The 13,011-nt window shown below is 35.6% G+C and overlaps 1 protein-coding gene across 3 annotated transcripts in view; it reads left to right on the top strand.

Moving 5' to 3' along the window:
- The window catches only part of SPATA16 (spermatogenesis associated 16), a 251,879-nt gene that overhangs the window by 115,170 nt on the left and 123,698 nt on the right, over nt 1-13,011 (top strand). For all 3 annotated transcript variants that reach the window (NM_031955.6, XM_006713778.4, XM_017007308.3), the window contains exon 4: nt 6,491-6,580. In NM_031955.6, coding sequence (NP_114161.3) covers nt 6,491-6,580 — 90 coding nt within the window. The remainder of the gene's footprint in view (nt 1-6,490; nt 6,581-13,011) is intronic.

Below are 13,011 nucleotides of genomic sequence, written 5' to 3'. Positions count from 1 at the left end.
CAAAGCAACTGGAACTTTCATGCATTGCTGGAGAGAATGCAGGATAGTACAACTGCTTTGGAAAGACGTTTAGGAGTTTCTCACAAAGTTGAGCATATGCTTAGAATAGGACCCAGTATTCTCACTCCCCTGTATTTTACCATAAGAAATGAAAGCTTATATCAAAAGATTTGTATATGAATGTTTACAGCAACAGAAACAACAGAGTGTTCATCAGTTGGTGAATGAATAAACAAATTGTGGAAACTGCTAATAGTTAAGCAGTAAAAGGAAGCAAACTATTGATACATACAATAATATGGATGAATCTCAAAACCATTATTCTAAGTGAAAGAAGCCGTACGCATAGGGTATATACTATATTATTCCATTTAAGTGATATTCTAGAGAAGGTAAAACTATAAATTTGGAAAATAGATCAGTGGTTGCCAGAAACTGGGCATAAGGGAAGAAAATTGATTAAAAAGGAAAATGAGAGAACTGTTTAGTACGGTTGTAAATTTCTGTATCTCTATTGTGTTGATGGCTATGTATTTGTCGAAACAGACCAAACTATATACTTTTAAAAAGTGAATACTACTGTATATAAATTATAACTCAATAAAACTGACTTAAATAAAAACATGTTAGAAAAAATTTAACTTTCTGAAAAGTATTATAGAACATGAATATAAACAATGAGAATATTGCCTTTAAAAACAAGCTGGGTTTAAAATGGTAATAATCACCATTAAAATTTACTTTTCAAAAGATTTCCCAAGGAATTTGAATGAAGTAAAAGGTGTCTAGAAGTTTTATTTAAATCATTAAAAATTTAATGTTATCTCCAGTGGTTTCAGACTAACAATACCTTAGAAATAAATATATTATTTCTTCTACATTCCATTAAAATATTTTCAACACTGAACCATTTATTAATTTTCATATATAGCAGAAGAAGAAATTGTCCAAGATATTCTCTATTTACATTGTAATAAAATGGGAAATTAACAGTAAAAGTTATAAGAAAAAAATACCCTTTTGAAATTGAACAATGCTGTCCTAAATAATTCTTTAAAGAGGAATTAAAATCTATAATTAGAGACTGGGAGAAAAAACTATAATGAGAATAAAATATACTCTATCATTCTTAAGGATATGGTCAAAGCTAAAATTATTGTAAAAATTCAAACCTCTAAATGCTTTCTTTAAAAAGAAAACATAAATTTTCTATATGTCAAGAATAAGAGAAATAATAAAAATAAATTTCAGAGAGGACAAATATTGATTAATAAGTATAAAAACAAATGAATAAATCAAAAATAAAACAGTAGAATTAATAGCTAAACCTAATATCAGTTTGATTGAAAAGACAAAATATAAAACCTCTAGCAACTTAATTTTAGTATACGATTTCATAAAAATCATAGCATTATTTTTTAAATGAATTTTTTTATTTGTTCATTTCTCATCCTGGATGTAGTTTTATTTTATTATTCACTTTCTCAATCCTTGGCTTTAATATTCTGTATTAATTTTGATACCTTTCTTGAATCATTAATTAACCTAATTCATCAATACAAAAGATCAAAGGAAAGTCCACAAGATCATTTTGATAGATTCAAAGAATATTTTTAAAAATTATTTACTTCTGGTAACTCTTGGAAAATAACACATAGAATGATACTTCTTTTTTTCTTAAATTGATCAATAATAATAATTATCAATGAAATATTGAAACACTCTTAGATCACCCTACTTATCTAAATTCTTTTTCTAAAAAATTTAGCCTATGTAGTAAGAGAAAAAAATAGTTATAAATACTGAAAAGTAGTAACCAAACATCATTATTTGCAGATGATGTAAATAAAATTAAATTATTGCGATATTAAGTTATAAGGGTACAAAATAAATATTTTTAAAAATACATGTTTAAATGCTATGCTATCAATAAGAGTTTGGAAAATATAATAGAAAAAAATCCCATACCTATTGTGCATACATGTAGTGTTTCTCAAACCTTAATGTGCATACAGATCAACTAAGAATCTCGTTAAAATGTGATTCAGTAGGTTTGAGGTGGGAATCAAGATTTCACATTTTTAGCAAGCTCCCAGGTCCTGATGCTGATTATATTCATAGTAATATATTTATATATATTTATTCTATACATTTTATATAATTCTTAAGCTTTAAAATTCTACATGAGAATATATATGCAAATATGTGTGTGCATATACATAGATATGTGAATATAGACATATTGACATATATTCTCATGCAGAGTTTTCAAACTTAAGAATTAACAAGAAATTAGTAAAATTTCTGTTTTTTTAAAAAAGTTAAAATATTACAAGTAATTAGTAAAACTTCTATTTAAAAAAACTTTAAAATATTACTGGGAGACACAAAAGAATATTTGAATAAAGAAGAGAAATGCCACATTCCTGTATGGGAAGACAATAATATAAAAATGTCTATTCTTCCTAAATTTTAATCTAATGTCTTTAGTTTAATACCAATAAAAATCACCAAATGATCTTTTTGTAGCTGGAAGAAACAAAAATGATAAAGTTCAACAGGAAGAATAAATATGCCATATTAACTAACAAATATATTCACATAGAGGACATTAGGCAGTTGTTTCCCTTCTGGAAATTAAAATCTATTATAAAATAAAGATAATTAGAGCATTTTCTGTCACAGAATTAGGCAGATCAAAAGCATGGGCTACAAAGCCCAGCCATAGACCCAAGTGTGCATATGAACTTAGTGTATAATAAACGTGGCATATCAAATCACGAGAGAAGGATGGATTATTTATCAAGCGAATTGGGAAACCTGAGATAATTACCAAAATAGACTTATATTCGAGCCTCATCAGTGTACAAATTTAGGGCTTAATAAAATAAGCACACACACACACACACACACACACACACACACACATACACAAGCATCAAATCATGTGAACTTTAATAAAAAAGATAAATTTTAAAGTATCCACAAATAGAAATCATAAAAAGCACAAGATTTACCACAGGTAACAAATTTGTTTTAAAAATAAACTTTCATTTACTATAATATATATTATTTTACAGGATCCCATTGTTTTAGAAAGGGGTGAATCAATGGAGTAGGCAATCATTGCCCATTACTAACTCCTTTTCTTCTGACAAAAATTCAATGACGTCTATCATTTAGCTAGTCTCTAACATGGTTCTTGTTTTTTACCAAAAGCCCTATCAGCATAGCTAAATCAGAGTTTTTTCCTCTGTGATAAAATCAGACCAATCAGCTCTGAGATTGCTCTCTGATTACAATTGTAGTTTTTTTTTTTTTCACTGTAACTGCAGTGAGATTGTCCATTTTGGTCACAGGCTGCCTCCTGCAGCTTTCCAAATGGCATCAAATGACAAATGATTAAGAACTTTTCAAAAGACAGATCATCATTTCCCCTACAAGTTGCACACGACATAAAATATATCTTTAAAAGGGTATGTCATTTTAGAAAGCATCGATAAATTAATAAAAGTATAAAAGCTAGGCTTTACAACTGCCACTAGCATTTCCTTGCCAAATATCTAACAGGGGCGTAAGATAAGCACACAGTGAATGCTGCAATAATTATAAAAGTCAAAAATAATAAATTGCCAAATAAAATATTTCATCTCAAATTACCAAATATTCTTTTATAATTACACTTTCAGAGTAGAGACTGGGTCTGTGTCTTCCTTCGGTCCCTCTTATGAAGCCGGGAATCATATGGTTTAGGGCAGAGTGGTGTTATGATTAAAAGAACCTAGTCCGTCTAGCAATAGTGATTTCTAAACTCATGTCCTCTACTTGCATTTCTTCAACACCATACAGAGGAATTATAATTACAAGTAATTTTTTTTTAATTCCTATCTTTTTATAAATCACACTGTAATGGTTCCGATAGTGTCAACCTCACCAGCCCTCACTACTCACAAAAATCTTCTCTGCCTACATCCAAAGCAACTCTGATGCCTTCTCTTCTCTCTCCTCTCTCTCTTTTGATAAGCTCTTTCTTCACTACCCCTCCTTCCCAGCACACCTCATCCTTGTCTCCAATCTAATCTACTTTTGTCAGAAGAACTTGTCTGACAGAGCAAGATTCTTGGAGAATAGCTCGGCAAAGCAAAAACATTACATCATAGGCAAAAAGATGCCAAAGGCTGGAAACATCCATTCAGTAAGGATTTTGTCCCATCAAATTTGTAGATGCTAACTAAACATGCATGAGTGAATAAGTGAATAAAGTAATAGGGAGTACACCTCATAGACTTGTGGATGAAATAAATAAATAAATAAATAAATAAATAAATAAATAAATAAATAAAAAGTAATAGGGAAGAATTACCTATCCTGTGGAAGAAAGTTGTCAGAATCAGAAAACCCAGTCCCTGGACAAAGCTCTGCCCTCAGCTACTCTGACTTACCTTTACAAAATTGCTTCTATAGGGACAAAATATATAAACATGATTTTCAAACATTCTCTTTTTCTGAAGTAATAAAAAATATTCATGGTAAATATTAGTATTATAGTTTTGTCTTGATATTAAATGAACCCATGTGATCATTTTAACATTTCCAACATTTTAATCAAAACACACCAAAGCAAACGATCTGTGTTCTTGAGGGATTAATGTATTCATTTGCAAAAATCCTTGTCATAGAGTACAGTAAAACCTCATTAACTCAGACCCGTCTAATTCAGAAATCACCATAGGAAAGGCAGTGTGATATAATACAATGCTCTGTGGCTAGACATGGAGAACCAAAAAACTTTAGACAGCTCTTTAACTAGTTATGCATGATTTTAGAAAGTTCCGTCTTCCTCTACTTTCTGCTGATTTGTGTTTGAAGTGAGCTAAGTTATACAGTCGATCCATCTCATCATCATACGATTCTATGATTATCCACAGGCCAGACAGATTTTTTTCTACTTTATTCTTTTTATATGCAGTGTTTCTGGGAATTGAATTATTTTCGTCTGCATGTTTTTAATGTGGAATACCTGAAGAGCCCTGAGAGGTCACACAAGTTTCCTAAATTTGTGCAATTATGATTATGTGCATTTTTCTGGACAGAGGTTCAGACTTTTTATCTGGTTCCCGAAAGCACTGTATACCTCTCAAAAAAAGGTTAAGAACCACTTACTTTAATAATGAACTAATTCCAAGTGATTCCCATCAACTTGTAAAAATAGGCTCACAAAATGTTGCTTAATAATCATGCGTTGGTTCTGTAACATTCTGTAGCCCACATTGATAAATACAGTAGAAGCTACATTTCGAACTTTCACTAATGGCTGGGTCCCCATTTGGTGATAGGGCATGGACTGCATCCAGCTAGTTGACCCTGTTATATCAAACACCTTGAGCAATACCTACCCATAATAGGCTCTCAATGAAGCAAGGAAGAGAAAGGTCTACCCCTTTATCTCTAGGAGAAGAAGGCAGCTAGGGAGATCATTTCACATCTAGGTTTGGATTGAGATTCCAGAACTCTGTGAGATAATGGAAGAGTCAGCAGGTAAGGACAGTTAGTTCATCTTATCCACAAGTCAAGCCTTGTCATTTCAGTCAAGAAAAAACAGAGGTCCAAAGTGAGGAAAGGCCTTAACAAAAGGGTCAAGACCAAGACTAGATCCCTTAACCAACAGTACAGGTCTTCTCTTACACCCAGCTGGGAGAAAACACAGAACCTAATTATGGAATTCAAATGAACATGTCACCCAAATTCCAGTTCCTCTTTTTTTTTTTTTTCTGAGACGAAGTCTCGCTCTTGTCCCCCAGGCTGGAGTGCAGTGGCGCGATCTCACTGCAACCTCTGCCTCCCGGGTTCAAGCAATTCTCCTGCTTCAGCCTCCCGAGTAGCTGAGATTACAGGCGCCTGCCACCATGCCTGGCTAATTTTTGTATTTTTTAGTAGAGACAGGGTTTCACCATGTTGGCCAGGCTGTTCTTGAACTCATGACCTCAGGTGATCTACCCACTTCGGCCTCCCAAAGTGCTGGGATTACAGGCATGAGCCACCGCACCCAGCCTCCAGTTCCTTTTTTTTTTTTTAACTGAAATTCAGCAACTAACAATCTCTTTCTTCATTAAAAGTAGACATACCATAAATAACCTGCTTTTTCCCTGATTTATTGAAATAAAAATTCATTTAAAAACAAATAAAATAGCACCATGTCTTATATGTAACATAAGTTGAATTCAAATTCTTTGCCATTGTCATATCTGTAAAAATATCCAGTCCCATAAATAAAATTTCTTTGATAATGCAAACTTAATTAGTTTTTCAATAATGCTTGTTTATTTGTCTTAATTGCCAATTACGGGGGGCGGGGAAGGGCTCCTTTCACTAGTATCTTTAAAAACACATAGTATATAAAATTGAATGCCTGTGATTTCATTCCATTGCACTTGTGGTAATTGTCTTTTAAAACCCAAATAACATTTGCATTTCTTTTACCTTTTTACAGGAGCATTGTTTTAAACCCAGCCTATTTCCGGAATCATCTTCGTCAAGCAACAGTGTTTAGATGTCTGGAGAGGTATTCAGAGGCTGCCCGGTATGTTTGTTTTAACTTTTGTGAGGATTTATATCAAGTCAAATTAATTTTATTCTCAAATTCTGGTAATAGCATAACAGAACTCTCCATTTCTCTCATGGAATATGATTTTATCCAAATTATTGTCTATCAACGTCAAACCAGCAATTATTGACTATCTTTCTCTTTAATTAAAGCTATTCCATGTTCATAGCTCTTAACAAAATTCAAACTTTCCAGCCATGAGGTCACTGATGATGATGGAAAAACTTGCATAAAGTAATAGAAATGCGCTTGACCTCTTGCTCTCGGGGATGTTCTTGTCCACATTGTAATGACACATTTCTATAACTATCTCTTGAGCACTGGAGAGGAAATCCAATCACGTGAAAAAGATCCTAGAAACCCATTTCTGGAGCAGATGGCATCAGTTAAATAACACCAAGTTTGCTAGAGATGTCCCAGAGTATTTTTTTCTTGGACTCCAATGTATTTTTTAAAAACCTAGTGAAGCTTCCCCTAATATTTGCATCCCAGAACTTAGACTGTGGCAAAGAATTGCAAGAGTTGTGCAACAGCCTCAATGCTACACTCAGAATTCCTTCTTGCCTGTGACAACCCAGGCTTTTTTCCTTCCTGGATTAGCTCACAAGACTCCTCTTCTGTTCCATGAGCTCTCTCAAATAATTTTCCTTATTTCCTAATGTAGAGGTGCCTGTTATTTCTTCCTCATCCACTTTACCGCCCCAGGAATCTAGCAGGAAAATGTGGCTGGTTTCTAGATTTACTCCAAGCACAACTTCTAAGGATAAATCTGCAGGAATCGAGATGGGGTGCCTAGGTTGCAGGTGACTACTGTCTAGAACATTTTTAAATAATACTATCTTTGACATTGGAAGCAAGAGTTTGAGTGTATAATAAAATGGCTTCATAAAATTGACACTGTGTCAAGCCTGTTATCCCAGCACTTTGGGAGGCCGAGGCAGGTGGATCACCTGAGGTCGGGAGTTTGAGACCAGCCTGACCAACATGAAGAAACCCTGTCTCTACTGAAAACACAAAAAATTAGCCTGGCATGGTGGTACATGCCTGTAATCCCAGCTAGTCAGGAGGTTGAGGTAGGAGAATCGCTTGAACCCAGGAGGTAGAGGTTGTGGTGAGCCGAGATCGCGCCATTGCACTCCAGCCTGGGCAACGAGAGCGAAACTCCATCTCAAAAAAAAAAAAAAAAAATTGACATTGTGAGGTTTACATGAATTCCATGTTTGTAAGATGTTCCCAGGAGTTGCCTGAACTCAGTTAAATAGATATGGAAAGCAGAGTTCATCTCAATTGCTCTCACTTTGCAGTCAAACAACCAAAATGCCACAACATCTTTTTATCTGTGTGAAGATCCACTTTGAACAGTTTTTAAAAGGTCTTTATCACTCTCTTTTTTGCATATTTCCCCCTCTACTATTTCTGCAATGTGTTTTATCTAAGGTACTCACACATTACTTCTTCCTACTTTTTATTTACTCCACTGAAATGTCTCTGTGGCTCACTTTCTGACCACACATGTTTCCTCGCAGTATGAATGAGAGAGAATGTAAGAGATGATAGTAAGTGTCCTTCTGTTTCACATTTAAATAAACAGGTTTTAATAAAGGTCACTAGCTACAAATGAAGCTAGTAAGTTCAGCATTAGCAGGTAACAGCCATCTGCAAAATAGCCTCCATTAAGAGGTGGTGTATTGATACATCTTGAATCCAATTGAAAGATCAATAGAAGGCTAGACACAATTTCAGAACTAGATTTCAGCTAGTAAAAGAATGCTAGTGGTGTGCTTATACAGACTCTAAAGATCAAATTGTTAAATATTCAGGAATTCGGAGCGAGCTAGTTGCTAAACTGTAGGAGAAATTAGCAATGCTGGGAGAAGCTACACTGTTGAAATTGCAAATGTTACAAATCCAGGCTTTTTTTTACTTTTAGGAGAGCCAGGTTACCAGCATACCATTGGCTATAACATAATTGTATCAAGCCTGTTGGAGCCAAAGTAATGACATAAATTTTTCGTGGGTCCCAAAACAAACAACAAGAACTTAAAAATTTGGAATTTGTCAATATTTGCCCTGTGAAATTGGCACAGACTATTCCACTGCCCTTGTCATGTATACTGAATTAGGTATATCTGCAGTGAAATAGGCATATCTGCTTAATATCATTTGATGACTGACCTGATAATGCTTCTTGAGAAAATTCCTGGTAATTCTTGGTTATGCTGGTGTGCAGTTTCTATAGAGATGCAATACAATTACTGTCAGGTACAAGTATTTTTCATCTTGGTTTCTTTAGCAATTATAGCCTTCAATATACAGTATAAGGTCATTCCCCCCAAGAGAAAGGATGCTATGAACTGTGAACATAAATATCGTAGTGTATCTTAGCAGCTAGATTTCTAATGTAAATCAACATATATAAAGCAATATATACAGCTTTTTTTTTTTTTTGAGACAGTCTTGTTCTGCTGCCCAGGCTGGAGTACAGTGGCACAGTCTCAGCGCTCACTGTAACCTCCACCTCTCAGGTTCAAGCAATTCTCCTCCCTCAGCCTCCTGAGTAGCTGGGTCTATAGGCACACACCACCACACCCAGCTAATTTTTGTATTTTTAGTCTAGATGGGGTTTCACCGTGTTGGCCAGGCTGGTCTCAAACTCCTGACCTCGGGTGATTCCTGGCATTGGCCTCACAAAGTGCTGGGATTGCAGATGTGAGACACTGCACCTGGCTTACAGCATTTATGTTTATCAATCAATCTATTGGAGATTTGAGTAGTTTGATTCAGGCCTCTTACAAGTATTTTATGTCAAAATTCATTGGTAAAGACAACACATCAAGGTTATTTCCTGTAGCATGCTACGCAGTCATGTTTCTTGGATTGAGAGGCACCTACCACATATGAAAAAAATGCCATTATTATGTGACTTAGGAGATCCTAAAACCATAATTCCAAAGGAAATGCATCAGCCCATATCTTATCCAAGATAAAGGTATATATAACCAGTCCCTGGAAATTAGAATGTCTTAGGTTTTCTGAGCCTAACCATCATCACCCATGAAGGGATTTCTAGTAAATAGGCCAGAATGATTCCCAGAACAGCCTCATTTAAAAAGCCCAAACTCTCAACAAGAGAGGCTGGAGGAAATGCTACTCCCTGTGGTTGGAGGGAAGATATCAGGTTTACAATGGACAGATTCTTTTATTTTACAGGTCAATATGCTTTCAGTAACATTCTACCAGAAGAAAGTGTAAGAATACATAAATTATAGAAATTGAACAAAAATGGAGATATTTTATTATGGTTTAGGCTCTGCAGGGATGCTAGTCACATTGCGGAGATGGCTGGCACTGGTTAAATTGATAAAATCACATTTTCAGACCACAAATTAAGTTAAGATAGCTCTAACCCCCGTTACCAAGAACAAGCCACCTTGTGAAGCTTTAACTGAAATAGAAAGTTGCAAAGCTTTTTAACATCTTTCTGTTTCAATGCATACAAAAAATCTGTGTTGACATAGAATGAATGTCATCACTCAAATCTGCCTTTCCTCCTCCAGCACTCATACTTACACACACACACACACACACACACACACACACCCCATTTGGGACTACCTTCATGAGAAGAAAATATTCAAAGACATAAAATCAAAGAAAAGCCAAGACTGTTTTGTGAAGACTGCTAATGACTTTTGACAATACAGGTATCATGGTGTCTTTTATCTCTTTGTGCTCCATGACTAGCACAAGGTCTAAAATATGCCAAGCACCAGTTAGGGGGTTGTGAATTAAATTAGCAGGTTTTTGAGTCTGTGGTACTATGTGGTTGATAACCATTCAGCTATATCAATAAGATATTACATAAAATTCTTTTTAGAACCCTGATTGAAAGATAAATATGAGAACTGTGCTCATAGTAGTGAAGATTATGGGATAGCATGATGACTTCTAAATTGAAAATACATAGGCAAAAAACCATATAACATTGCACAGGGTCTTTATTTAAAACCACATTGTGTAAGAAGCAGCTAACAGAAGGTAAAACTAAAGAAAAAATGCAACAAAGTCTCTTTAATGCATCATTGATAAAGAATTTTCTGCTGGCTGCAGTGGCTCACGCCTGTAATCCCAGCACTTTGGGAGGCCAAGGTGGGCAGATCACCTGAGGCCAAGAGTTCGAGAGCAGCCTGGCCAACATGGTGCAACCCCGTCTCTACTAAAAATACAAAAATTAGCCAGGCATGCTGGCAGACACCTGTAATCCCAGCTACTTGGGAGGCTGAGGCTGGAGAATCACTTGAACCCAGGAGGCGGGGCTTGCGGTGAGTGGAGATCGTGCCATTGCAGTCCAGCCTGGGCGATGAGAGTGAAACTCTGTCTCAAAAAAAAAAAAAAAAGAGAAAAAAGAAAAAAGAATTTTCTGTGTATTTCTACATGCATGGGCTAGATAAGGGATACAAAAACAGGAATAACACATTCAAATGCTTATAAAGCCCAGGCAGATGATGTGTGTATCAGACCAATTAAAAGATAAAATATGTTCTGCGAACTACAGTGAGCTGGAGACCACTCACTAAAGTGACCATAAAATTAATCTTTCAAACTAGATACCTGTGATAGTGAAAGTGGACACTATTAAGAATTACGCCAGGAAAACAGGTACAAACCAGGACTTTCACAAGCACACCGGCCATATCATCACCCTACCACTGGCCCTTCCAAAGAGAGTGGCCATCACTCAAGTCCAACTAATGTTGCTCTATGGGAATGTAGGTTCAACTTTGCAGATTTTTTGAATCTTCAAGAGATAGTATTAATATAACTTCAGAGCATTCCAATAAATTTATTTACTTTTTAAAATATTTTCAACTTTCATTTTAGATTCATGGGATACATGTGCGGGTTTATTACATGAGTATATTACATGACACTGAGGTTTGGGATGCAAATGGCCCTGTTACCCAGGTAGTGAGCATAGTACCCAGTTGGTAGTTTATCCACCCTTACGCCCCTCCCTCTCTCCCCACTTTAGCAGTACCCAATGTTTATTGTTTCCATCTTTATGTCCATAAGTACCCAAAGTTTAGCTCCTACTTATAAGTGAGAACATGCAGTACTTGGTTTTCTATTCCTATGTTAATTTACACTTAGGATAATGGCCTCCAGCAGCATCCATGTTGCTGTAAAGAACATGGTTTCATTCTTTATATGGCTGTGTAGTAATCCATGATGTATATGTACCACATTTTCTTTATCCAGTCCACTGGTGTTGGACACCAAGGTTAAGTCCATGTCTTTACTATTGTGGATAGTGCTATAATGAACATACAAGTGTATGTGTCTTTTTGGTGGAATGGTTTGTTTTCCTTTGGGTATACACCAAGAAGTGGGATTGCTGACTTGAATGGTGGCTCTGTTTTAAGTTCTTTTGAGGCGGGAAATTAAAGAAAAACAAAATTAAAAAGAAAGAGAAATAAACTTTCCTGTATTAGGCTGACTTGTCCCAGAGGCAGCAACAGGCACAGCCCAGACCCAGGAAAAGTCTTGATAATACTATCTAATGTGCTCTGGAGACTCTCCCAGCACTCCCTCAACCTAGGGAGAAGAAAAACAAATTTTCCTTTGTTTTATGGAATGAGTTTATAGATTCCTGTTCTCTGTAACTAGTGACTTCAAGTATTCTGTTTTATTTAAGCAGTAGAATGAAGGTCATGAGCCTCTGAGCAGGCCTGAGTTACAGCTACCTGGGTGCCATAGTGAAGGTTATGGGATAAGCCCGTGCCTAGGCAAACCAAGATAATGGACATCTGGGTTGCATAGCAACAGTCATGTGCAATCCTGAGTTATGAACCTGTTACAATTTGATTAACTGTCTTTGTCCCGCCTCTGTATCCCTGCTTTCAGGCCACTGTAAGCTTGCTTCAAGCTAGCCCACCCCCTTTTGTAAAGTGTGTATAAAAGTCAAGTGCTGTCTTTGTTCTGGGCCCAGTCTTTGGACGTCAAGTCTGCTGGGTCTGAGTGCACTCAATAATAAAGATATCCTCCTGTATACATCCCAAGGTCTCTCTCTGGTCCTCCTGATTCTGCAACACTTTGAGAAGTCTCCAAACTGCTTTCAACAATGGCTGAACTAATTTACATTCCCACCAAGAGTGGATAAGCATTCTCTTTTCTCTGCAGCCTCACAAGCATCTATTATTTTTTGACTTTTTAGTAACAACCTTTCCAACTGATGTGAAATGGCATCTCATTGTGGTTTTGATTTGCATCTCTCTGATTATTAGCTATGTTGAGCATTTTTTTATATTTGTTAGCCATTTGTATGTCTTCCTTTGAGAAGTGTCTGTTCATGTTCTTTGCCTAATTTTTAATGGTTTTTTATTGTGGTTTGCTTGTTTTTTGCTTAA

Source organism: Homo sapiens, chromosome 3 (genome assembly GCF_000001405.40).
Source record: "Homo sapiens chromosome 3, GRCh38.p14 Primary Assembly".
Taxonomy (NCBI): Eukaryota; Metazoa; Chordata; class Mammalia; order Primates; family Hominidae; genus Homo; species Homo sapiens.
Note: the sequence above shows the minus strand (reverse complement) of the source record. Positions and strands in the feature narration are given on the sequence as shown.